This window comes from Homo sapiens, chromosome 4 (genome assembly GCF_000001405.40).
Source record: "Homo sapiens chromosome 4, GRCh38.p14 Primary Assembly".
Classification (NCBI taxonomy): domain Eukaryota; kingdom Metazoa; phylum Chordata; class Mammalia; order Primates; family Hominidae; genus Homo; species Homo sapiens.
The window spans coordinates 153,256,604-153,284,419 of record NC_000004.12 but is presented as its reverse complement, the minus strand read 5'-3'; the positions used below and the strand labels follow the sequence as shown (position 1 = coordinate 153,284,419).

General features: G+C 41.7%; 1 protein-coding gene and 1 pseudogene across 35 annotated transcripts in view, besides 2 other annotated features; one reads left to right on the top strand and one right to left on the bottom strand.

Annotated features, from left to right (window-relative positions):
* The window catches only part of TRIM2 (tripartite motif containing 2), a 187,155-nt gene that overhangs the window by 54,898 nt on the left and 104,441 nt on the right, over positions 1-27,816 (bottom strand). For 15 of the 35 annotated variants that reach the window (NM_001375517.1, NM_001375514.1, NM_001351056.2 and 12 more), the window contains 2 exons: positions 13,901-14,082; positions 8,290-8,527 (listed from right to left, as the gene is read on the bottom strand). In NM_001375517.1, the coding sequence (NP_001362446.1) occupies positions 8,290-8,527; positions 13,901-14,034 (372 nt within the window). In that variant the 5' untranslated portion in view covers positions 14,035-14,082. Of the gene's footprint in view, positions 1-2,854; positions 2,956-8,151; positions 8,528-13,900; positions 14,086-26,812; positions 27,042-27,816 lie in introns of those variants that run through there. The other 20 variants (XM_011531796.4, NM_001438045.1, NM_001375515.1 and 17 more) reach the window with 11 other exon arrangements.
* Positions 18,665-18,758, top strand: RNU6-1196P (RNA, U6 small nuclear 1196, pseudogene; annotated as a pseudogene).
* Positions 24,289-24,805: an enhancer, noted in NCBI's record as "OCT4-NANOG hESC enhancer chr4:154180767-154181283 (GRCh37/hg19 assembly coordinates)". NCBI's record gives its function as "activates a minimal SCP1, AML or CMV promoter by ChIP-STARR-seq in primed H9 embryonic stem cells {active_cell/tissue: H9 hESC(primed)}" and the evidence as "EXISTENCE:reporter gene assay evidence [ECO:0000049][PMID:30033119]".
* Positions 26,546-27,191: an enhancer, noted in NCBI's record as "H3K27ac hESC enhancer chr4:154178381-154179026 (GRCh37/hg19 assembly coordinates)". NCBI's record gives its function as "activates a minimal SCP1, AML or CMV promoter by ChIP-STARR-seq in naive H9 embryonic stem cells {active_cell/tissue: H9 hESC(naive)}" and the evidence as "EXISTENCE:reporter gene assay evidence [ECO:0000049][PMID:30033119]".

Here is a 27,816-nt window from a genome sequence, read left to right as displayed (position 1 = left end):
CCAGCCTGGCCAACACAGCGGAAACCCCATCTCTACTAAAAATACAAAAAAATTAGCCAGGCATGGTGGTGGGCGCCTGTAATGCCAGCTACTCAGGAGGCTGAGGCAGGAGAATCACTCGAACCCAGGAGGCAGAGGTTGGAGTAAACCAAGATCACGTCACTGCACTCCAGCCTGGGCAACAGAGTGAGACTCTGTCTAAAAAAAAACCAAAAAACAAAAAACAAAACAAAAAAAACCAGGCCAGGCGCAATGGCTTATGCCTGTAATCCCAGCACTTTGGGAGGCCGAAGTGGGCGGATCACCTGAGGTCAGGAGTTTGAGACCTGCCTGGCCAACATGGTGAAACCCCATCTCTACTTAAAAAAAAAAAAATACAAAAATTAGCTGGGCATGGTGACATGCACCTGTAATCCCAGCTACTCAGGAGGCTGAGGCAGGAGAATTGCTTGAACCCAGGAGGAGAGGCTGCAGTGAGCTGAGATTGCACCACTGCATTCCAGCCTGGGCAGCAGAGCAAGTCTCTGTCTCAAAAAAAAAAAAAAAAAAAAAAAAAAAGATCAAGGCCATCCTGGCCAAGATGATGAAACCCCGTCTCTACTAAAAATACAAAAAATTCACGGGGCGTGGTGGCATGCACCTGTAGTCCCAGCTACTTGGGAGGCTGAGGCAAGGGAATTGCTTGAACCTGGGAGGCAGAAGTTGCAGTGAGCCAAGTTTCCGCCACTGCACTCCAGCCTGGCAAAAGAGCAACTCTGTCTCAAAAAAAAAAAAAAAGAAAAAAAACAGTTGACGGTTCCTTAAAAAGTTAAACATGGAATTATCATATGGTCTAGCAATTCCACTTTTAGGTACATACCCAGGACAACTGAAAGCATATGTCTACACAAAAACATGTACATGAATGTTCACAGCAGCATTATTCATAACAGCCAAAAAGTGGAAACAACTCAAATGTCCATCAACTGATGAATGAATCGATAAATTGTGGTATATCTATATAATGGAATATTATTTAGCCATTAAAAAGAGTACTAATATACCATAACATGGATGAACCTTGAAAACATGCTAATTGATGGAAGCCAGACTCTAAAACTCACATATTGTATGATTCCATTTATATCAAATGTCCGTAAGTGGCAAATCCAGAGACAGAATGCAGGCTGATGGTTGCCAGGGATTAGTGGGAGGAGGGAGTAGGAGGTGACTGCTTAAAGGGCATGGAGTTTCTTTTTGGGGTGATGAATACGTTCTGAAATTTAGACAGTGGTGATGTTTGCTCAACTTTGTGACTATACTAAAAACCACATTAGTTGTGCTTTTCCAAATGGTTGAGACCTGGTGCAGTGGCTCACTCCTGTAATCCCAGCACTTTGGGAGGTCCAGGCAGGAGGATCCTTTGAGCCTAGGAGTTGGAGACCAGCCTGGGCAACATAGCAAAACCTATCTCTTAAAAAAAAAATTAGCTAGGTTGGTGGCATGCGCCTATAGTCCCAGTTACTCGGGAGGCTGAAGTGGGAGGATCACTTGAGCCTAGGAGATTGAGGCTGCCATGAGCCATGATCATGCCACTGCACTCCAGCCTGGGTGACAGAGTGAGACTTTTTTGTCTCCAAAAAAAAAATTAAAAATAAAAAACATCATTATAAAAAGAAAAACAAAAAAAACAGGCCAGGCTCGGTGCCTTAACACCTGTAATCCCAGCACTCTGGGAAGTTGAGGCAGGCAGATTGCTTAAGCCCAGGAATTTGAGACTAGCCTGGGTGACAGAGTGAGATCCTGTCTCAAAACAAAAAAACAAACAAACAAATAAAATTGTTGAAATATTAAATTTTATGTGATGTGAATTTTATTTTTTATCTTGTATTTATGTATTTATTTACTTTTGTAGAGAAAGGGTCTCACTTTGTTGCTCAGGCATGTCTCAAACTCCTGGCCTCAAGTGATCCTCCTGCCTTGGCCTCCCAAAGTGAGCCACCAAGCCCAGCCTGAATTTTACTTCAGAAACAAACAAACAAAAATTGATCTCAGCTTTGAAGAGACAGCAGCAGACCTGGCTTATTATTCCTAGTTCAATATCTTAAGTGTGTCTTGGGAAGCCAAGGCCCTGAAATGATTTTGAATTATCAATAGCTAGTCATTTTCAAAGGCTCGTGCTTCGGTTCTGACAGCTTTGGTTTAAGCTGAGAGCTAATTGTGTGGGGCGTGTAATTCTGCTGAGCTCATCCATTTCATCCATCTCCAGTGAGATGATGCTGGTGCGGCCTGGGGTGGGTGGGCAGGCCAAAAGCTAGGATGAGCTTGTTGTTGATGGATAGTCACCATTTATGTTCACCAGAAGAGACTGGCAGGATCCTATGCATTCCTAACATGCAAAAAAGATGGTCAAGGTCTTGCAGCCAACCCTGAGGCTTGGCTTCTTAAGGGCACTGACAGTTGATCCTGATATGGAAGTGGAAACTTGTTAGTGGCAGGGCAGTCTTAATGAGGACCTCTCCTTTGCACCTTTGACACCCTTGATAGTCAGGTGCCTAAGCAACCAATAACAGGGTTTAATGATCATTTGTGTTCCAGGGACCATGAGGCATGAGCTCAAGTGTCTGCTTTAAGTGCAAAGAACCTGTTAGATCACTGACCATTATTTTTCTTTTTCTTTTGTATTTGAACAATGCCACCATGGCAGTTTAATTAGAAGACAGATAGTGTCACAGCACTTAAAGTTGATGACAGGCTTTCATCCACACGTGCCAATCAGCATCAGACAGTGGGGATGGCAGCACCCTGCTTTATTGTTAATGAATTGATTTTATTAACCTTCAGATGCTTGGATTGTTTTTAAAGATCTACTCACAGCAACTAACTGCAGCAATTTATCTGGAACATTGCATGAATTTGGCTTGAATATGCAATGAAGACTTCTGTTTCAAAACAGCAGCAGTGAACTTCTACAATCTATAATCAAACAATAGAATGATTTAAGGCACATGCTGCTAATTTGCCAAGCATTCTTGCCCCCTAATGTTGCACATTTAGATTATTTCCAATTTTTGAGCTTTATCTTCCGCTCTAGCTATTTCCTTAGAAATATTTCCACTGGTGGAATTACTGGATTAAAAGATGAGAGGCTGTATAAAACACTCATTATATTTTGTCAAATTGACGTAAACTTTCTGAAGAGCAATTTACCCTTCCACCCACAGCATATGAAAATGTCTCACCATACATACTCTCAAGAGCGCTGGTTACTACCTTTTAAAAAATTTGTAGTTAATTTGAAAAGAACTGATTATCTGTGAAGCTTGACATTTTTCCATAAATGATTTTTAGGCATTTATATATCCTCTGTGGATTTTCTGAGTTATTTGCTCATTTTCTTTTATGATGCTCATATTTTTCTTAATTTGTAAGTGCTTTTACATATTAAGAATTTGCAGGCTGGGCGCGGTGGCTCACACCTGTAATCCCAGCACTTTGGGAGGCCGAGGCGGGCAGATCACGAGGTCAGGAGATCGAGACCATCCTGGCTAACATGGTGAAACCCCATCTCTACTAAAAACACAAAAAATTAGCCAAGTTTGGTGGCGGGCATCTGTAGTCCCAGCTACTCGGGCGGCTGAGGCAGGAGAATGGTGTGAACCCGGGAGGCAGAGCTTGTAGTCAGCCAAGATCGTGCCGCTGCACTCCAGCCTGGGCAACAGAGCGAGACTCCGTCTCAAAAAAAAAAAGAATTTGCTGGTGGGCTGGACATAGTGGCTCATGCCTGTAATCCTAGCACTTTGGGAGGTCCAGATGGGAGGATCCCTTGAGGCCAGTTTGCAACCAGCCTGGGCAACATAAGACCTTTTCTCAACAAAAACTTAAAGAATTAGCCAGGCATGGTAGCATGTTCCTGTAGTCCCAGCTACTCTGGAGGCTGAGACAGGGGTATCACTTGAGCCCTGGAGTTGGAGGTTACAGTGAACCATGATAGATAGTGCCACTTGCACTCTAGCCTTGGTGACAGAGTGAGACCCAGCAAAAAAAAAAAAAAAAGGAATTTGCTGGGGTATTTTAATTAATAATTTTACAGCCAATGTCATTAATTAAGCTACTAATGATTTTCTTTTTGTTCTATCTTCATTAGGTTTTGGTATCAGGGTTATAAGCGTATCACAAATGAAATGGGAGACCTTTCTAGCTTTTCCTACAATGCAGAAATATATATACTATGTATTTAATAAACTTACTATACTATGTGTAGATATTTCTGTTCTTTTCTTTCTTTGTGTATGTTCCATATGTTTATTTTATTACTCTTTTTCTAACTTGAGTTGAATTCTTTTTTTGGGGGGTGGGTGGGGGTAGGGGCAGGGTCTCGCTTTATCACCCAAGCAGGAGTACTTTGGCACGATCACAGCTCATTGCTGCCTCAACCTTCTGGGCTCAAGCAATCCTCTTGCTCCACTATCCCCCCCTGCTTTTTTTTTTTTTTTTTGAGACAGAGTCTCACTCTGTTGCCCAAGCTGGAGTGCAGTGGCACAATCTTGGCTCATTGCAATCTCTGCTTCCCAGGTTCAAATAATTCTCCTGCCTCAGCCTCCTGAGTAGCTGCGACTACAGTCATGTGCCACCATGCCCAGCTAATTTTTGTATTTTTAATAGAGACAGAGTTTTACCATGTTGGCCAGGCTGGTCTCGAACTCCTGACCTCAGGTGATCCACCTGTCTCGGCCTCCCAAAGTGCTGAGATTATAGGTATGAGCCACTGTGCTCGGCCTCATGTTTTGATTTTTTTGTAGAGATGAGGACTCACTATGTTGCCCAGGCTGGAATTCTTTTTAAATAAAGGAAAATACTTAAACCTATAAAATTTCCTGGGTAGAGATTTGACCCTACACATTGGATATAAAAAGTTTCCACTTCCAATACTTTGTAAATAGTCCAATTTTCTATTATTTCTATTATTTTCTATTGATTAAATAATTATTAACTTTTAAAGGAGATTTGTTTTTTCCCCATAAACATGTGTTACTAATGTAATTTTAGTGCATTGTAGGGCAGGAACTTGCTTTACACAATGGGAAAATATAGTGGTATTTTCTTTGTGACCTAGTATAAGATTAATTTTAGTTGCTGAAGTTCTCACGATCTAATAGCTTAGCTTAACAGACTTTAGCACAGGCCTTTTTATTTGTGGGAGGCAGATTGTTGAGTCAAAGAGTACTCTTTTCTCTGAAATTCACGCTGTCTTCCCCAGGCCCATTGATGCCATTCTAGTTCCATCTCTTATCTCTCATTTGGACAATTCAGTAAACTCATAATTGGTTTCCCAGCCTTTAGTGTCTGCCACCCCATTCCTCCAAAATGTCAATAAAATACCTATCTCCTGTTCAGAAGGCTTTGATGCTTTTGCAATTTAAGAAATTGACGTCAAACATGTTCTTAATGATATTCACAGCTCATCCCAATCTCTCCACATCTATCTTTTCAGGCCCACCTGTGTCCCACCCTCAACTCCGCTGTCTCCATGTTCTAGCCGCTTCCTTGAGCTATAAGCTGTTGCCTGAATTTCATGACATTCTCACTTTACTTATGGAGGTAACATTTATTTTTTTTTTCTTAATTTTTTTTTTTTTTTTTGAGATAGAGTCTTGCTCTGTCACCTGGGTTGGAGCGCAGAGGCGCAATCATGGCTCACTGAAGCCTCAATGTCTGGACCCACAGGATCCTCCTACCTCAGCCTCTGAACAGCTGGGACTACAGGTGCAGCCCCATCATGCCCAGCTGATTTTTGTATTTTTGGTAGAGGTGGGATTTCGCCATGTTGCCCAGTCAGGTCTCAAACTCCTGGGCTCAAGCGATTGGCTTGCCTCAGCCTCCCAAAGTGCTGGGATTACAGGCATGAGCCACCATGTCTGGCCCTTAGAAACATTAGGAGACCTACTATAGACACTGGTGTAAATTTGGGATATGAAGGGGCTGTCATGTAGAATGAGAAATAATGACAGTTAGAAATATTAGCTTGGCTGGGCACAGTGGCGCATACCTGTAATTTCAGCACTTTGGGAGGCCAAGGCAGGTGAATCACTTGGGACCAGGAGTTTGAGACCAGTCTTGGCAACATAGTGAGACCCTGTCTCTACAGAAAATACAAAAATTAGCTGGGCGTGGTGGCATGCACCTGTAGTCCCAGATACTGGGGCAGAGGACAGGACTGAGGTGGAAAGATCGCTTAAGCCAGGAGGTCGAGGCTTCAGTGAGCCATGATCGTGCCACTGCACTCCAGCCTGGATGACAGATTGAGACTCTGTCTCAGAAACAAAAACAAAAACTAAAAAACCCATAAAAAATAAAACAACCTAATGTTTCTAAGACTTTACTCCTCTATCAAGTCACGTCTCCAGAGAGCCTCATTTTAAGGGGCACTCTTACACCTGATAGAAATACCTTCCCATAACTAGTATTTAGAGTGCAAGCTCCAGGCATAGACAGCCTCAGCATTCACTAAGCACCAGTGTGAGAAGTGGTCATGAGGAAAATACTCAACCTGCTTTCAAAAGCAGCATTTAAAAGTTCTTTTTACAAAATTTAGATGATCAATTTCCCTTGGCATAAAATGCATGGAAAACTGATAGCTATTAATAGCCTGGTGTGCTTTCAATTAAATTATTACAGATGTGTAAGCCATGGTGTCCTTCTCTTGTTTTGGCTACCAGAAAGCTCAGGATGCTATTTCTTCCAGGGCTAGCTTTTACAATGTGCCCAGCAAGCTTTGTGACTTAAACTGTTTCAGCCTCAGTTTCTTCATCTTATAAAGTGAAAGTAACCAACAACTACTTTGCAGAGGGGGGTTTAAGGAGCCAAATACGGTGTCTGGCAAATTTGTTCAACAAATATTTATTGACTTCTATGTATAAGACACTGCCCTCAGTGCTAGGGGTCTAATGACAGGTCCTTGCCCTCCCAGAGCTCACATTCTAGAGGGAAAGCCAGGACTAATAAGTACACAAATACACAGCTGATGGCAAGCAGACCACAGTGAGCACCAGGGAGGAAAGAAAGCAGGGACATGATGGAGGGTAACCAGCTGTAAGAGGCAACCTGTGTTAGACGGTACAGGTGGAGAAGACTGCTGTGTGCAGGAGAAATTTGCAGTGAGACTTCAAGGAAGAGAATAAGCTCGCCACATAAAGAGGAAACAAAGAGCAACCCAGGCAGAAGGAACAGAACAGCCAGGCCCCGAGGAGGGAAACCATTTGGCAGGTTCTAGGAGGCTGGTGAGGCTCCAGCACAGTGTGCAGAGAGAATGCTGGGAGATGAGGTAAACAAACAGTAGTGTGGCTAATAAGAATTGCTTTGCTCTAATGATTGCTTGCTTGTCTTAGTGGTTTTGTTATACCTGGGCCTTTTGTTTTAAGCAGTTTCAAATACTTTTGAAGTGACCAATATACAAATGAGATGAATATAAAGTAATTAATGAAAAAATGTTAAAGCTGACATTTATCAAGATCCTACTATATGATTTACATGACTTGAACATTTAATTCTTCCAATATTCTATATGGTAAATACTATTATTACTTTTTTTTAACTGATAAAGAAATGAGACGCAGAGAGTTTAATAAACTTACCAAAGCTGGCACAGGGAATAAGTTTAAGAGCAGGATTTGAATCAGGCAGCCTGACTCCAAAGCCAATGTCCTTAGACGCTACACAATGCTGCCTCTTCAGGTTACATAGCTATTGTGAATCAGTTACTTGATGGTACCCACAGGTCCTCCTGAGCTTCTAACAGTTATTGTACTCACTAGTAGCAAGAAATATGTTTGGAATTCATAATCTATAATCTACTATCAGGGATTCACATAGCTTCAAATTCTATCTATTAATAAGGAATAAGGTCTAATGTAGCATGAGAAAATTTCCCTCCCAAGAAAAATAAAGAACTCTAATTAACATTTTAATAATCATTCTCAACTTACAGAACTTATCCATTGTTAAATCCGTATCCATAAATTTATTACACAGATGTTTATGTAGGTCAGCTTGCAAATAGCTACTGGTTTGCTGTCCTGGGGATACCAACAATATGTGTGAAGGAGACACAGTGGAGATTGATTTCGTTATTTAAATAGTTCTGGTCAAAGAAAGTGAGCAGGTAGTCTGAGGGCTGGTAAAAATCTTTTTTAATTACTGATTTTTCCACATGGAGTTCTGTTTCAATCTGTAATCTCTGATGTACCCAAAGCCTCCCCAAGGCCACAGTAGTCATGCTCCCGGGCAGTATCTGCCATCCCAGCCACTTACATTCCCATCGTGGTTTGGGCAAGAGAGAGGCTTTCCCGCAGCCACAGCAGTGACTGTCTCCAGGATGGAAGACTCCTCAGCGTTGCTGCCTGGAGTTCGCTGCAGCACGTCCATCAGGTTTGTGATGAAGAAATTGTTCTGGAGCGCGGCCACCCCTTTCTCGGGCAGGATGGAGGTCTGGCGGCACACTGGGCAGGAGAGGGTTAAACTGTGGGCAGGAATGTAGTTCTGCAGGCACCTGTTGCAGAAGCAGAGGTGGAGAGCTTAGCACAGTGCAGAACCTCCACTTCTCACAGGTACCATACATGTTCTCAGTGACTACACAAGGTATTTGGCAGAAACTCCCATCCCAGTCTCCTTTACTAGGAAAATAATATTTCAGAAACCAACAGGTAAGCTGTACTCACACTAATGAGGCAAATGATTATGCTCAAGGAAATAAAAAATGTCATTGACTTTTGTAGTGTTTTCTAGTGCCTTGGCACACAAAGTGTGGTCCATGGATGAGCAGCGTCAGCCTCCCTGGGGGGTGCATTTGGTAGAAATGCAGAATCTTAGACCCTATCGAACACCTGCTGAGTCAGCTCCCCATGTGATTTGCATACATGTTAAAGTTTGAGAAGCACTGGCCCACAATATCTAGCAGTGGGCTCATAAATGTGTGGACTTTGAAATTGAAAGAAACACATCAAATATTTTTGTTAGCAATAAAATTCTTCTTACGTACAAAATCATAATGAGATATAAAAAACACATCAAAGTGGAAATATTTGCTTGAAGCAAGAATGGGACACCCAGAGTCAGAGCCACACCATCTCTTCTCCTTGTCTCTACTCAACAGGTATCAACTTAACTCATTTAGTTAAAGAAGTGTGTCACTAATAATGACTCACACATATGCTGCTCATTGAATTCAAAGTACTTCCAATGAGCCTATGAGATAGGTACTGTTATGATTCCTTGAGACACGTGATGCAACAGACAGAGACAGGCCAGCGTACTTGTCCAAGATACTTAGCTGGTCAGGAGCAGAGTACAAAGTACAAATTCAAACACAGGCAGTTTGGCACCATAATCTAAGCTCTCAATAATTAGACTATACAATTTTTTCCAGTACCTAGCCAAACAATTCAAAACACACCAACCTAGCCCCATTCCCCTTATTTTGCAGATGAATAGACCTGACATCAGAGACATTCACTGATCTTGTCTATGTCACAGAGGTAGCTAGCCCTGAACCAATACCAGACATGAAACAGCTTTTGCTAAGGTCATTAACGACGTCTGAATCCAGCAGATGTTTTTCAATTTTATCTTACTAGACTTCTGGGAAGTATCATTAAGCTTGATTATTGCTCTGCTCACCTTCCTTTTTATTGAAAAATTTCTCTTCCCTTGACTTTATGACACCACACTCACATGGTTCTCCTGTCTGCTCTGTCTTTTCTGAGTCAATACAGTTTTGAGTTAATCAAGGTTCCATTCATCATGAGACCTCTTCTCTTTCTGGAATATTATATTCATATCACAGGTGTGGCTACAAGCATCAGGCTCCCAAAATTATATTTCTTCCCACAGACATCTCCTTTGAGCCTCATTAACTGACCTGTTGACATCTTTTCTTAGATGTCTTGCAGGTCCTAAAACTCAACATGAACAAAACCAAACCCATTATCTGAACCCCAGACTGTATCCTCTCCCATTCCTGATGAATAGCACCTCCATCCATTTATTTAAACAAACCAGAAACTAGGAGTCATTCTTAAAACAGTAACTCCCTTACTGTCCTTCATTTTCCATATCCAACCCATCACCAAAGCATGTCCAAATGCCTACATATCTTTCTAACCTCTCCAGTTCTCTTCATGCCCTGCTATATAACCATCCTTGTACCCTCTAACAATTATCCACATTGCAACCAGAGTGACCTTCTCAAAACTCAAAGAGAGCCATTTAAATCTCCCTCCCACACCATCTGAGATGAAAGCCATGCCATGGTTTCCACTTCCACTGCTCTTACAACAAAGACAAAAATCCATATATGGCAACATGGATTACACATCTCATATGGCCTAGCACCTACATACTTTCTGTCTCTTCCCCTCATTTGCTGCATACCAGCCACAGTGGACTTATTTAAGTTCTTCCTCAGTGTTGAATAACCCTCTCACTGTAGCACCTCTCACTCACTATAGCAACCTCCCACTATAGCACCTTTGCACATACCTGAAATTCTATTCACTCCCCTTTGTTTAGTTAATTTTTACTCATCATTGGGGTTTCTGCGTAATCATCACTTCTGCAAGGAAGCCTTCCCAGATTAGGGCAAATTCCTCTATTATATTGTTTCCTGTATACTTCTGGTGTACAGCACTTGTCACTGGTTTAATTTCACATTAGTCTGAGCAATTAGGGGGTTAGTGACTGGCTCCTCCACTAGGCTGTGAGTTCCAAGGGGCCAGCAGCTATGTCTGGCTTTGCTCTCCTTCAAGCCTTTTGATGCTGTTTTGGAAGATGTGGGATAAGAGTGACTGTAAGGGCTGGGCGTGGTGGCTCACGCCTGTAATGCCAGCACTCTGGGAGGCCAAGGCGGGTGGATCACGAGGGCAGGAGATCGAGACCATCCTGGCTAACACGGTGAAACCCCGTTTCTACTAAAAATACAAAAAAAAAAAAAAAAAAAAAAAATTAGCCGGGCGTGGTGGCGGGCGCCTGTAGTCCCAGCTACTCGGGAGGCTGAGGCAGGAGAATGGCGTGAACCCGGGAGGTGGAGCTTGCAGTGAGCCGAGATCGCGCCACGGCACTCCAGCCCGGGCGGCAGAGCGAGACTCTGTCTCAAAAAAAAAAAAAAAAAAAAAAAGAGTGACTGTAAGGTGCTCACTGAGTAGCCAGTATGAATGTCCAGCAGAGGCTGAACATGGGGGTCCTAGAGCTCACTCTCCTGACAGTGAGACAAGCTGTAAAGTTTTGTCTCTGCATAAACAAAAATTTCCCCACCGGGCGCAGTGACTCATGCCTGTAATCCCTGCTCTTTGGGAGGCCGACATGGGCAGATCACGAGGTCAAGAGATCGAGACCATCCTGGCCAACATGGCGAAACCCCGTCTCTACTAAAAATACAAAAATTAGCTGGGCATAGTGGCGCATGCCTGTAGTCCCAGCTACTCGGGAGGCTGAGGCAGGAGAATCACTTAACCCAGGAGGCGGAAGTTGCGGTGAGCCGAGATAGCGCCACTGCACTCCAGCCTGGTGACAGAGCAAGACTCCGTCTCAAAAACAAACAAACAAACAAACAAACAAAAAACCCCATTTTAAGGAAAGTTGCCAGCACCTTCAACACCTTCAAACAGAAATCTTCTCGGCTGGACGCAGTGGCTCACGCCTGTAAGCCCAACACTTTGGGAGGCCAAGGTAGTTGGATTGCTTGCGCTCAGGAGTTTGAGACCAGCCTGGGCAACATGGAGAAACCCTGTCTCTATAGTCAGGCATGGTGGTGTGCACCTGTGGTCCCAACTACTCAAGAAGTTGAGGTGGGAAGATCTCTGGAGCCTGGGAAATTGAGGCTGCAGTGAACTGTGATTGTGCCACTGCACTCTAGACTGGGTGACAGAGTGAGATCCTGTCTCAAAATAAATAAATTAATAAATAATTAATAAAATAAAAAATAAAAGAAGAGGAAATCTGGCCAGGCGCAGTGGCTCACGCCTGTAATCCCAGCACTTTGGGAGGCCGAGCTGGGCAGATCATGAGGTCAGGAGATCAAGACCATTCTGGCTAACACAGTGAAACCTCGTCTCTACTAAAAATACAAAAAATTAGCTGGGCGTGGTGGCAGGCACCTGTAGTCCTAGCTACTCAGGAGGCTGAGGCAGGAGAATGGCGTGAATCCGGGAGGCAGAGCTTGCAGTGAGCTGAGTTTGCGCCACTGCACTCCAGCCTGGGCAACAGAGTGCGACTCCATCTCAAAATTAAAAATAAAATAAAAAAAGAAGAGGAAATCATCTCAACATGCATGAGGCTGGAACAATTTTAACACAGAGCATTGTGTAAGGACTTGCTGTAGCAGAATCTCACAAATCTCTACCACCAGCTATTGGGTGGGGAGTGGAAGTGGGTTGGGCTAGATCCCCAAAGAAGATAGCAGGGGCAGACCTAGGGCAGCCAGAGTGTTGCTTCTCACCTGTCAGAGTGAGGAAGTAGGACCCAAACAATAGATAGGCTGGACACTGAATACTGGGATATGGGGCAATTCTGCCAAGTTCAGACTGAGTGGCTCTGAATGCACTTCTATAGAGAGTATCAGCCAAGCTATGCCGACTGCTGCACATCAGGTAACGATCTTCCCATGTGTGCCCAGGGACACATGGACTATTAGCTGGTATTCATGTTTTAGGTGCACCCATTAAGGGGATGGAGGAATCACACTCTAATTATTTTGTAATATGAATTACCAAGCACTTAAGCCAAAGTATAAAATGAATAAAATAAAAAGTGCCCTATATACCACCACTAAAACAAACCAAAACCCATATACACAAGCACACGCACACACACAAAACCCCACAACAACCCAAAACAAACAAAAAAGCCACAACTACTAGTAACAAATCTACCTTCTCCTTCTATCCATCACCACCATGAAGGATATGGTTATTCTTTTGCAATTGAACCTTGCAAAGTAAATCAACTCAAAAAATGGTCAATCAGATAATAAAGACATGTTAAATCAGATATTTGTGTAATCAGCATAGATTTGAAGCCATTTGAAATACTGATTTCCAGTTCTATCACAGGAAGTAAAGCATTTTAAGTATGTATATTAAATAATGATAAAAATGTACTTAACAAAATGCTATAAAACACAATTACCATATTTATTTTTAAGAAAGATACATAACTTTACTAGGGAAATATTTATAAGTAAGATAAACTAATTACTAACAAACTTATGCTTAATTGCTTACATGGTAAGTTAAACAATGGGGTAAAAGTATATTTTGATAACTGATTAACGCCCCTCTCCAAAAACAAATACTCTATGAAGAAGATAAATAAGGAAGTCTGTTTTCACATACAGCAAATTACATAGTCAGGTAATTTATTTAATATATATTTTTTCTTTATCTAAAACATCATAGCATTCAAATGTGACATTAGTATGTGTCTGAAGAATCTTTGAAAAAGAAGCTATACCTTTTGAAGTAACAACTCATGTATGCAGATGTTTTACCTGATTTGTTATATGGGAGGAAATGATAGATTTTTTTAATTGACTCTGAAAGACCCTCTGTAGGGATCTGCTGTGGACAAAAATTGTTTCACAAAGAACAAAGGGAAGTTTTAAAAGATTTTTCAACTTAACATTCTTATTTAATGCTCCATCTCTTGTGTAAACGAATCAGTAGTTACTGGATTGCTTTCTCTTGCTTATAATGGTTTGAAATAAAGTAAATTATTTGCAACTCATGATTCTGTTTTTCAATGTCTGGCAGAAGCACAAGAGATTAGTTTTCTCTCAAAGGTAACTGTAGAATTCTGGGAAAGAATCCTGCAGTAGGTTGTAGGAGGTCAGCCTGCGAAACTCCCTTCTCCAAGCACAAAGGAGGCTTACCTCTCGCAGAAAGTGTGCAGACAGGGGAGAACCTTGGGATTCTTGTACCGTTCCAGGCATATACTGCAAATCAGAAACTGCTTGTCAATCTGGCGCACCACAGGACTTGGGATGTTGGTGCCTTCACTGGCCATCCTAGACCACTGACATGGGGGGCCGGCTGTCTTTGACCCTGCACGCTGCTGCTGTCAGACAGAAAATCAAAACAGAAAAACATATAATGATCTGTAGGTACAAGTCAATCACTGGCTCTTTCACCATAAGCATTGTGCTATAAGTAAAGGTAGAAGTCGGCCAGGTGTGGTGGCTCATGCCTGTAATCCCAGCACTTTGGGAGGCCGAGGTGGGCGGATCATGAGGTCAAGAGATCGAGACCCTCCTGGCTAACACAGTGAAACCCCGTCTCTACTAAAAATACAAAAAATTAGCCGGGTGTGGTGGCACACGCCTGTTGCCTCAGCTACTCAGGAGGCTGAGGCAGGAGAATCACCTGAACCCAGGAGGCAGAGGTTGCAGTGAGCTGAGATCGCGCCACTGCACTCCAGCCTGGGTGAGTGCAGTGAGACTCCATCTCAAAAAAATAAAAAATAAAATAAAAAATAAATAAATAAAGGTAGAAGTCAATGCCAGTGACCTCAAAATGACCAATAAGCCAACCCTTATTGCTGTACAAGTACAGTCAGCTCCCTGTTGTTTATTTTGTAAATCAATAAAATCCTCACATGTTCGCCAGGCAAACAAAACAAATTAAAAGAGGGCATGTTGTACAAAGAGGTATGCTCGCTGGGCTTCAAAGCAGTGGTAACTAAGGGGATAAATACTTTATATAGCTATGTCTGCTTATGCCTTTAGCCATGACTATATTTAAACATATATTTACCTTTCATATTCTTATTGAAATTGAATATGTTTTTCCAACTATCGTAGTTGAAGAGGTTGGACTGTGTCACATCAAAATATGTCACTTTGATATAAGGATTATTTTGAGCTGAAAGCTATATAGAAAGAACAGACAGAAAAGGACCTCTCTGCCCTTCCCCATCTGCCTAAAAGCAGAGCATAAATTTCTCTTTTGTAAAGGAAATTTCCATTTGTAAAGGTGCCTCTCTCTCCAGAGCCAGGAAGAGAAGTCTCTTAAACACTGAAGACTGCAAGGAGATGATCTTGCAAAATGATCTTACTAAACAAACCTTATCTACCATACATTTCCTACAATTTACTGCCCCAGGAGTCCAAACCCCTCTTTCTTTTGTCTAGGCAGTTCTCCGCAATATATTGTCCTTTGTCAAAATGGTATATAAAACCCAAAGAGGAGGTTGTGAAGCCCTTGATAATGTAAAATTAAAAATAGTATCAAAAAAAGTGTATGCCTTTTTCTCCCGTTAATCTGTCTTTTGTCACTTTAATTTATAGACCCTAGGCACATACTCTAGGAGGGCAGAAGAAAAGTTTTTCCTCCCCTACATGCTATTAATATGCATGGGGGTGAAAATTAGAATTTTAATTAAAGATTTTGTATATGGTTCAGAGTGTTTTCTTCAGGACTAAAGGTTTATAGATTTGAAACTAAAATATATTTGCTATGGGGTAGGGACAAAGGCTAGAGGTATTCCCTATAATTTAAAAGAAATATCTGTTGGTATTCATGTCTGGGCATTTGAAAGACCTGGTGAAGTGAATTAATTCAGAGAAGGTTTCAAAATGTTAGGGATCATGCCAGGAAAGGAGAATTAGAAGAGGGCAACACAGAAAGAGAAGACAGCAAAGAGTTTGAGAGCACAAGAGAGGAAAAAGTTACAACACAAAACACAGCTCCTTTTACCACCTTAAAGAATTCCTGGCTTCTACACCGAAGGCATAAACCAAGGCTGAGCTAAAATTTACCTCTTCATTTTCTAAATATTTGGTAAGGTGTCCAGAGCCCTCTAATTCCCTATGGAAATACTCTTTACCAAAAAGAAAATAAAAGACAGAGAGAAAGTGAAACTGCTTTTGCAAAAACTGTAACTGAGAAAATTATGGCAGTGAAAGAGATCAGACCTAACCGACTCCATCTTGTTTCTAACCTTTAAGCTGTCCTTGTTCATTCCCGGGCATAGGTTAAACTAACCTTGGGAAGGAATTGAGCTTATAGTTCGACTCTGAAAAAAATTGATAATGGCCCTTTTCCAAAAAGACCCCTTCTTGCCTAAGGACCAGTCTCCCTTTGTAGGACTAACAAATTAGCTACAAGATTAGAAATTAAGGTTTAGGGGCCATGCAGCCTCTGGCTGCAAGAGTCTGAACCTCCCTAAATTGCTCTTCGCGATAACAAAACTATTGTAAAACCAAAGATCAGTGCTTGAGATGTTTTGCAGAGCCTGCACTCAGTGGATCAGCTGACACCACCCAGACCGGTAATCTGGCTCAACAAGTTCCGTGATCCCACCCAGGAACAGAAGGCAGCAAGAAAACCTCGCTTTGACTCCTCTATGATTCCATCTCCAACCTGACCAGTCAGCACTCCCTACTTCCCCTGCCCCTACCTGCTAAATTATCTTTAAAAACTCCGATCCCGAATGCTCAGAGAGACTGGTTTGAGTAATAATAAAACTCTGGTCTCCTGCACAGCTGGCTCTGAGTGAATTACTCTTTCTCCATTGCAATCCCCTGTCTTGATAAATTGGCTCTATCTAGGCAGCAGGCGAGGTGAACCTGTTGGGTGGTTACGAAAGAAAGAAAGGGAAGAAAGAAAAGAAAGAAATAAAGAAGGAAAAGAAAGAGAGAGAAGGAAGGAAGGAAGGAAAGAAAAGAGGTTTAATATTTAATATGACCCTAGGCAGGAGGTCATACTATTATTCTTTATTCTTTATTATTACTATTATTTTTTGAGATGGAGTCTCGCTTTGTCACCCAGGCTGGAGTGCAGTGGCGCGATCTCGCCTCACTGCAAGCTCCGCCTCCCGGATTCACAACATTCTCTGCCTCAGCCTCCCCAGTAGCTGGGACTACAGGGGCCCGCCACCACGCCCGGCTAATTTTTTGTATTTTTAGTAGAGATGGGGTTTCACCATGTTAGCCAGGATGGTCTCGATCTCCTGACCTCGTGATCCACCCGCCTCAGCCTCCCAAAGTGCTGGGATTACAGGCATGAGGGGTCACACTATTATTCTTATTCTATAGATTAGAAGAAACAAAACAGAGGCTCAGTCAAGAAGTTTACCAGAATGCAAATCCAAGGAGTATATGTCTCTAAAACCCATGGCCTTTTCACTACTTAAACCACAACACCGCCCTTGACCTTGTGTTTTAAAAAGGCTGCACTACAGAAGCTTGGTTTACATATGACACTTTAACTTGGCCTGGTGCCTGTTTTTAAAGCTTGGAAATACTCCATATTTACAGAAGCAACACTTCTGTACTTTCTAAAGAAAACATTCTTTTCCAAATATAAATAATAGTTTTCCTTCCTACCAAGTCACCAAATTTTAAAAAAGCGTGTCAACTTTTATTAGGAAAATTCGGCTGCTGGCTGGTCCAAGTGCAGTGGTGTTTACAGGTAACCGATCACAACCAGTTACAGATTTTGTTTCTCCTTCTCCACTCCCACTGCTTCACTTGACTAGTCAAAAAAAAAAAAAAAAAAACCCAGAAAATTCTGCTGTTTATGTATGAGTATAGTTACAAACATGACACACCCATTTTCCAACTCTGTACCTTTTAGATAAGTTTATTAAAGATATGATTTTTAAAACAGGCTGGGTGTCATCTCTCATGCCTGTAATCCCAGCACTTTGGGAGTTCGGGTGAACAGATCACTTGAGCCCAGCAGTTCAAGATCAGCCTGGGCAACATGGTGAATCCCCATTTCTACAAAAAAATACAAAAAAAAAAAAAAAAGGTCGGGCACAGTGGCTCACACCTGTAATCCCAGCACTTTGGGAGGTCGAGGTGGGCAGATCACGAGGTCAAGAGATCCAGACCATCCTGGCCGACATGGTAAAACTCCATCTCTACCAAAAATATAAAAATTAGCTGGGCGTGGTGGTGCGCACCTGTAGTCCCAGCTACTCAGGAGGCTGTGGCAGGAGAATCGCTTGAACCTGGGAGACAGAGGTTGCAGTGAGCCGAGATCACGCCACTGCACTCCAGCCTGGTGACAGAGTCAGACTCCGTCTCAAAAAAAAAAAAAAAAACCCAAAAATTAGCCAGGCATGGTGGCACACATACATAGTCCCAGCTGCTCAGGAGGCTGAGGTGGGAGGAGTGCTTGAGCTCGGGAGGTCAAGGCTGCAATGAGCCGTTAGCATGCCCCTGCACTCCAGCCTGGGGCACTCACAGAGTGAGACTCTGGCTCAAAATAAAATAATAAAATAAAATAACATATAGAACCTTGTGAAGCACCTGCTATACAAGAGTGTCACATTCAGACAGAACTCACTGCATAGTTAAACGGTATAGGTATGACGTCTGATCAGCCACCATTATCTGCTAGACTTTCCATAGAGTGTCTCTCTAAAGTAGCTCATCTCTCAGGGGCTCAAAATGTTGAGAGCCTGTCTGTTTTCTTAACCACATCCCTATGACATCAGACTAGGGGAGGAATGGACTTGTCTGTCTTAATCAAAACCAACGCTGAGGGTTTAAATGACTGGCCCAAGGTCATTCAGTAAAATCAGTGAATCAGAAAGGTCAGATTTCAAGTTTTCTGCCTTATCTGATAAATTGATGACGTAAGTTTAACACTTCACTAGAGTGTGTGTGTGTAACTTGTAAAAATGATGAGTGCTCACTTTTGTAGCACTAAAATTTGAATGATACAGAAAATATTGCCCCTGAGCAAGAATGGCATGCAAATTGTGAAGTGTTCCATATTTTCTTTAAAAAGATGTTAAACTGGCCATGCGCGGTGGCTCAAGCATGTAATCCCAGGACTTTGGGAGGCCGAGGTGGGTGGATCATGAGGTCAGGAGATCAAGACCATCCTGGCTAACACAGTGAAACCCTGTCTCCACTAAAAATACAAAAAATTAGTCAGGCGTGGCGGCAGGCGCCTGTAGCCCCAGCTACTCCGGTGGCTGAGGCAGGAGAATGGTGTGAATCCAGGAGGGAGAGCTTGCAGTGAGCCAAGACATGCCACTGCATTCTAGCCTGGGCAACAGAGTGAGACTCCATCTTAAAAAAAAAAATAACAAAAAAAAACACAAAAAACAAAACAAAACAAAAAAAAACTTTTCCGTCGAAATCAGTTAAAAATAATTTTATTTTGAATAGCTTTTGAAATTTTTCATAGTACCCTTTGAAATAATCAGAGCCATGCTGGGTATTGAAAAAAGCAGAGAGAAAGCATCATATTGGACTTTATTCCTTTTTTTTTTTAACCTTAGAATTTTGGATTTTTGGCAAGAAAAAAATTTGTTTTAATCAAATGATATACGTTGACTAAATGAAATTTCTTGAGCCAATATTTTATGCTCTAAAGCCAAAAATGAAAACATTTCATTCTAACTTTATGATAATTATTGTAGTGGGTGAGAGCAAGTCTCTATATTGTAGTATTGTTAATTTGCATGGTAAATTAATTAAGTTTACTCCTTAACACTAATTTAAAATCATGACAGTATCACAGATCTGTCACAAGTGACCTGTTGAAGGCATCTGGATTTTTAGAACTCCAAGAATCGACACAAAAGGTTTCCAATCCCCAAAGATCCCCAGATTTGCCAGGATAATGATCCTTCCCTGGATACCCACACTAGGAAGAACATTTGACTACTCCTAATGGGACAATGTGCTCAGAAGAACTGAGGCACAGAATGAGCTAATAAGCACTGTGGAAAGTCTGAATCAGTCCGAATATGTCATGAGGAATACACTCAATATACAACGGCCTTCAATCAAAGCGTTGGGGCACTACCACAGTTTCTGGTCTCCTTGATTAAAAAAGCAACAAATGTTTTATATACATGCTTTGCTGGTCTCCTTTCCCCATCTTGTTTTCTAAATTGTCAGAGACCCTTCTTACCCACATAACCAGTGGAAGTCAGTGCACTATAATGAAAGAAATCAGAATATAGAACTGCTCTTCTATATGCTGGAGAGCTGCAAAACTAACTTCTGAAGGGATCCGTGTGAAAACATGCCTGGGGTGGACTTCGCCTGTAAAGAAGCTCGAATGCTTTTGGATGTAGGAACTAACATCAGACACATTGACAAAAAGCCAGTAGAAAGGAAATGGTAGCAAACGCAGAAAGAACCACTTTAAAATAATACAAATGGTCAACATTAGTTTGATATTGACCTTAGCCAAAAAGAGTTTTCATATGGAAGACTAGCTGAGGTTCCCTGTCTGTGGAAAACAAACAGCAAGACCTCTTACAAAGAAGCTCACTCCCCTTTGTCCAGCTCAGTGTCACCTGCTCAATCTGACCATTCTGTTCAAAATTGCATATTGCCACCAGTTACCTAGCACTGCTATCCCCAGTCCTTGCTAGGTTTTTCTCCGTAGCACGGGTCACCTCCTGTTATAGACTCCATGTCTGTGTCCCTCCCAAATTCATATGTTGAAGCCCTAACCCCCAATGTGATGGGATCAGGAGGTGAGGCCTTTGGGAGGTGATTAGGTCATGAGGGTAGAGCCCTTATGATGGGATTAGTGCCCCTGTAAGAGGAGATAAGAGGGAGACTGCTTTCCCACTCTGTCTGCTCTCTGCCATGTGGGCCATCTGCCTATAAAGCCAGAAGAGGGCCTCACTAGAACCCACCATGGGGGCACCCTGATCTCAGATTTCCTAACCTCTAGAACTGTGAGACAATACATTCTTTTTGTTTAAGTCATCCAATCCATGGCATTTTTGTTATAGCAGCTGGAACTAAGCCTTCCGACATACTATGTAATTTATATATTTTGGATATTGTCTCCGCCCTCCCCCTAGAATGTAAGGCCTACAAGGGCACAGATTTGCATCTGATTATTCACTGCAGTAGTTCCAGCACCTAGAAGTGTCCTGGTACATAGTAGACATTATCTTTTGAATGAATCAAACTAGCGAAATATAACATGGAAACGGACTTATTCACAGCAGCAGCAAAGAGCAGCACTTGCTGAATTCCATGATAAAGAGTGTGGTTGTTGCCGGTCATCTGAATGTTTGCACTTGACCTTGGACATTACCTGCTTCCCAATGTGATAGTCTTTTTTTTTTTCTTTTTGAGACAGGGTCTCCCTCTGTCACCCGTGCTGCAGTGCAGTGACATGCTCACAGCTCACTGCAACCTCCACCTCCGAGGCTTAAGTGAGAGTCCCACCTTAGCCTCCCAAGTAGCTGGGACCACAAGTGGGCACCACCACACCCAGCTAATTTTTGTATTTTTGTAGAGAAGGGGTGCCACTATGTTGCACAGCTGGTTTCGGACTCTTGGGCTCAAGTGATCCTCTCGCTTCAGCCTCCCAAACTGCTGGGATTACAGGCGTGAACCACCATGCCCAGCCTCCCATGTGATAGTCTAATGCTTAGCAACATAAACCATCATCCAGAGGGTAAACATTAGTGACATATTTTAACATGTTCATAGATGCAGAAAAAGAAACAGAACTATTGAGTACATGAAAGCGCCTTCACAAAAATTATGACAGTGAGAAACATCTGGCATAGAAAAATTATGACAGTGAAAGGAATCTGACATAGGTGACTCCATCTTGCTTCTAACCTCCATGCTGTCTTTGTTTATTCCTAGATGTAGGCCGAACTAACTTTGGGAGCAATTTAGTTTATAGTTTAACTTTAAAACAGGAATGATAACAGCCCTTTCCTGAAACAAGCCTCTCCTTGCTCAGGATCAAAACTACCTTTATAAAACTAACAAATCAGCCACAAGGTTAGAATTATGGTTCAGTAAGGAGCCATGTAGCCACAGGTCGCAAGATTCCTACCCTCCCCAATTGCTCCTACAGATAACATCACTATTGTATTGTGCAGGGTCTGGATTTTATTGAATAAATAAATACAATAAAAAATAAAAAACATCACTATTGTAAAACCTAAGATTGGTGTTCAAGATATTTTTCAGACCCTGTATTCTGATGGACCAGCTGGCACCACCCAAACCAGTAAACTGGCTCCACAAGTTTTGTAATTCCATCCAGGAAGTGAAGACAGCCAGAAGACAGCTTCGACCTCCTATGATTTCATCCCTGACCCAAGCAATCAACACTCCCCATTCCCTAGCCCCCTGCCCACCAAACTACCCTTGAAAAACCCTAGCCTTGGAATTTTGGGGGAGTCTGATTTGAGTAATAAAGTCCAGTCTTCCACTTAGCTGGTTCTGCATTTATTAAACTCTTTCTCTATTGCAATACTGTTGTCTTGGTAAATCGGCTGTATCTGTGCACTGGGCAAGAAGAACTATTGGGCAATTACAGACACATATGCATGAAAATAAAAAGCCTAAGAAGGTTGGCACATAAATCCCTTATTAATGGGGGCTTGCCAACTAAACAGAGCTTGTTGTGGGAAAAGCAATTCAATGATCACATAACAAAATCCTTGGGCATAAAAATATCCAGCTCCAGCGTTTCTTCCCTCACATCATCTCTGGTGTTTTTCCTGGCTCACTTTCTCAAATCTCCTACAATTTGGTGGCAATTAACCCCCAAATGCAAAAGAACTTGATAGGAGAAGCTGAAATGAGAGAAAAATGCCTATGTCCACAATTCTAAGATTTAGACCACATTTTCCATCCCAAATTATACCATTTAGATCAGAAAACTATCCACACTCTTTATTGCTGACACCACAGTGAGTAAGAGCAGGAAGAAAGAATGGCAGAGAAAAGCCAAAGTTAAATCGCTCTTCTGGAGAAGGGGAGGGAGCTGGCAAAATCTTGTTTGCCTGTTGTAGGGAATGTGGTAGGGTAACAGAGGCCAAGATTCTACTGAAAAACAAAATTTTAACATGTGATTTGTGGGTAAGAGGTCACATATTTGATTATACATCATCCTAAAGGTACTCAATTACATTCCTACAGTCTAATTTTATGGCATTCCTGCGTTATTGCTTCTCTTTGGTGCCACTTTAGTTGGACTTATTTATTAAGATGCCTTTTTTTTTCTCTCCCTAAGACAGAGTCTCCCTCTGTCTCCCAGGCTGGAGTACAGTGGTGTGATCTTGGCTTACTGCAACGTCCACCTCCCAGGTTCAAGTGATGCTCCTGCCTCAGCCTCCAGCATAGCTAGGATTACAGGTGTACCCCACCACAACCAGCTAAATTTTTGTATTTTTAGTAGCGAGAGGGTGTCACCATACTGGCCAGGCTGGTCTCGAACTCCTGGGCTCAAGCAATCCACCGGCCTTGGCCTCTTAAAATGCTGGGATTACAGGCATGAGTCATTGTGCCTGGCCCAGCCCATTTTTTATTGTTCTCATGCAGACATGCAAACATCTGCTTTCCAAGCAATTACAAATCTTCTGGTACATTTATAGAAAGGAAATCCTGAACCATTTGGATTATCTATAAATCACAGTATGCTACCCTGTACCTGCCAGAACATGTGGTATAAATTAAAACATGATGAAAAGGGTATTCTTAATTTTTAAAATTTCAGCCTATTATAATTTGCCTGCAATTGAATTGCATTGTTACTGAGGTCTCAATTAGAAGAAAAGAGGACAATCTTTAGTGAAATTAAAACAGGGTGACCCATTTCCAGTTAAATCAAGCCTCTATCCCAGATGGGCCATTTTGTAAATCAGAAGGCTAGATGCATTATCTTTCCTGATGATGATGATGATGATCATGATGATGATGATGATGATGTGTGTGTGTGTGTGTGTGTGTGTGGGGGGGGGGGTGGGTGTGTGGGTGGGTGTGTGTGTTTTGGGGGGAAGGCATTCAGAAGCCATCCCCTTTAACTTTTGTCTTCAGGCAGGGTGTGTCCAAGCTCTCCAAGGTTCTTTTTCTCCTTATTTTCAGAGTCAGATATATGACAGCTTCCTCAGATGAACTGGTTTTTACCAAATGGAAGCTGATTTTTAAGCTGAGCCCCTGACTTGTCTTTATGATATATCATAAAGACATATTTCCCCTACCTCTTTCTTTAGTATATAAAGAAGGCCATTGCCTCACCTTTGGCAGCCGATTGTTAAGATTAGGCTGCGTCTGTGTGGTGGAATGTTAAGTGGTCAGGCTAATAGACATTCATCTCACAGCACTCTGGGACAGTCAAGATGCTCGGGGTCTCCTCTCTCCACACCCATCACTTTGCCAGGTCTCCTCCCTTGCTTTGCTTGGGGACTACACAAAGAGGCTAAGTATTCTGGGACCACAAAAAAAGGTAGAGGTCAGCAAGGGGACTAGGTGCTGGTACCAATTCTAGGGGTTGGAAGAAACTAGCAAGAAGGGAAAAGAGAAAATTATTTCACAACAGAACTAAGAGACACAGCTCTACATAATAGGAACCTCCTGTTTGCTCCTGGTATATACGAAGCACATTATTTAATTCTGTTGTTGATTAGAATAAGTACTTAAATTAATAATGTTTAAAGACAATAACAAAAAGCACTTAATGGAAAAATAGAGGCTGTCGAGAATGTGAAGACCGAAGAGGTAAAGTAGAAGGGAATAGAAACATTTGCATACTAAAAGCAGAAATCTGTTTCCTGCAGTGATGCTATTTGAATACTTGGCTCATTATTTTCTCACTTTCTGGTCCAATCTAAAGCTCCAATTTCTATGAGGAAATCTAATCCGTTAAATTCAGACCATCTGCACAATGAAAATATTCAGAAAACCCTAATAGCCAACCCTATAATGGAGCAAATTCTACTCTGAACTACAGCCTTTATATAAGTAATAAAGGGACAGAGATGGCACCAGAGATTAAAGAAAAAGGCTATCACAGGTATGTGCAAATCATCATTTTGCCATAGTAAAAAGTAATTGAAGTCATATTTTTTGAAGAAAAAACTATGACAGTAAATAATTTGGCAGCACATTTTTTAAAATTCAAAAGTATTTCTCTTCTACACATTTCAATAATACCTCAAATATTTGGGTAGTTTTAGTTTTATAAGAGAAATAATTAAAAGAGGCACAAGGGAGTCTTAGAAATTGCTACATATTTGGGATTTTCCCCTACCTAATAAAAAGAGATAAAAGAAAGCCCTAAGTATGGAGAAATTAACGCCTAAGGATACCCAGATAAAGAACATTTTCATTTCTTAGTAAGACAAAGAATGAATGTTTTAACTTTATTTCACAAGCAACAAAATCCATGAAGCTTTTGTTATAATAAAAAAAAATTAAGTCATTGCAGGACTATAGTATTACCTATGGAAAAAACGTGTATAGATTTTAGTCTTCTTTTAAAAAATGTGTGGGTTATATATGCTGCATTCATATATCTTGAAACAGCACGTTCTATCAGAGAAAATTTTTACATTCAGCTGTGTTTTAACCTTTCCAATGCAAATCACTTGTGTCTTCCTAGGAGAAAATTGGACAGAAACACTTAAAGGTTTAGGAAGGGTTACTACTCCTGTCTCTGCATCCGAAAGCTGCTTTCTCATACCACAGCACACATGAAACTTCTCATTGTGTGCTGCTTGGGAGGGGCGTGCATTATTTAACATTATAGTGGGTTAGGAACAGTGGGGCTCAAGCCTCTGCCTGAAATAATGAAAGACACCAGAAAACAGATTCACACTAGGCAGAACTGAATCCTAACACTAAGACGTCATTTGAAGAATTCTGCATGAACAAATGGCTCTCCTTACATATAAACTGGAGTTTAAAACCTTCTTTTAAAACAAATTTTCATAAGGAATAAAACTGCTGTAACATGATCTAAGCCAGAGAAACAATCTTTTAAACACCTCATTTTGAAAGCTATTACATTGAAACTGTCTTTTCCTTAAGACAATAATACCATTTTATCTTTTGGTTCAGAAATCCATTTATTAACATTCAATTTTTAATTTAAAACAAACTGCCTTGCTACTTGCTCTCCTATCCCCCCAAAAGAAGGAATAATGTCAGGGTGGGGCATACTTGTAGAAAAAGCTCTGACACAAAAATAATCCCCACTGTTTCAGGAAGCAAACCTAAGGACCAACCCAAAACCCAAGGGTTTTTTTTTTTCTTTTTTTCTTTTCCCTGTGTAATGCTATCATTGAGCTCCACCCAGATTTGACTGTACTTCAAAGACAGGAAAAAAAATTGTCAGAAAAAAAGCAAATTATCTCCTACATGTTTGTTTGCTGGCCCTCAATGGCATTCAGAATTCGGAGGGTCGAGTCATGCATTATGAATGAATGGGTTTCCAATGGTAACTGCCAGCCATGGAACTCAACCCCAGGATTCTCTAATAGAGGACAGAGTGGGGGGAGGGTCGCACGTTCTCCTCTACCCTGGGGCAGCGAGGAAGGAATCCTGCAAATCAAATATTTCATCTCCATGTTTGCACCCAACAGAGAGATGCAGGGGGCAAAATTCTTCTATTTAAAACAAGCCAAGATACACACTAAAATAAAGACTGGTAAAAATACAAATCTAGTCAGATCACATTAGAACTTGATAAGAAAATCTTGCATGATTTTCTCCCCATACTTGTTAATTTGGTGCCTTTGTTTAAGCAAAGAATGGGTCTGCATTTTACAGCTACAGAGGATGCAGCATCACCATGAGAGATGAAGGGAGAAAAAAGAACCGAGAGAGCAGGAGAAATCAGTTATCCACCTGGCACAATACTAAGCAGTCTGAACATTTAGGACCTACCCATTTCTGAAGACAAACAGACTAACCAACGAGGCAAAGAATTAAATCCTCCCAAGTCTGTCGCTGCAGCTACGCGGCAATCCAAAAGAACAACGCACGTTTCTGCTAACACTTCAAGTTGGGAAGCACCATGCAAAGAGACTGGTTAAAATTCCCTACCATGCAGTGCAGCCATCATCAGAAGCCCAGCATATCTTCTGCTCTAAGTAGTGATGTGCCAGTTCATGCACAGAACAGAGGAAGAGAAAAATGGAGGAAATGAGAGAAGGCTGGAAGTCGGCAGGAATGTTTCTGGGTCATTAACAAGTGGAAGACCCCCTTCAGTATTCACACCAATCGGTCTTGATCTTACAGGACATCTTTTTCTCACTGAGCGTCTGTTGAAAAGACTGCAGCAAACCAGGCAAGGGATTATGGGATAGGGATGCAGCAGCGAGCTGCAATGAGATTCGTGGGTGGCTTGCTTTCCCTCTGAGTCAGCAGTCAGCTGTTTCCATGCTCTCGTGCTGGGCCGCTGAGCTCCATCACCAGAAAGTGACTGCAGGATTCACCAGGGGAGAGGCGACCAGTGCAGTCTCCGTGCAACGCAGCCGGGGCAGGTACAGGGAGTGCTACAAATCAGACGAAGGGAGTGCTGGGACGCAAACGGTGAACGCAGTGAGAATAGATTCTAGGAAGAAACTGGGCATATGGTACCTCAATATGAAAAGTTCACATTTAGAGAAGAGCTTTGCGTGAGTGTGAGAGCACACACTTGCTCGTTAGAAAGAGAGACGACTGATTTCCTTAGATGTCTCAAGTAGCTTTAAACACATATCATAATTTTTTTAAATGCAAAAAACAAACAAACAAACAAACAGTCCAGTTCCACAAGCCCCTACTACTTTTCCTCTCTTGGTATTTACCCCAGGGCAGGGTCTATAAAGTACGGTTCCACAAAGTCAAATCATGCAATGACATTTCTTTGCTTTTTGTGGTTCTAATGATTCAGAGAAAAATCATATGGTACATATTTTGATTCGGGGATAACCAGACCTTGTTCTTCTTCTGATCATGAAGTTTTCAGTTAAAAGTTGAGAAACTTGACAAATAACATAACTTAATTTCCTGCCAAGTCATTAAACTTAGTTGTAAAAGGTATAAATAATGTAAAAATGATCAGC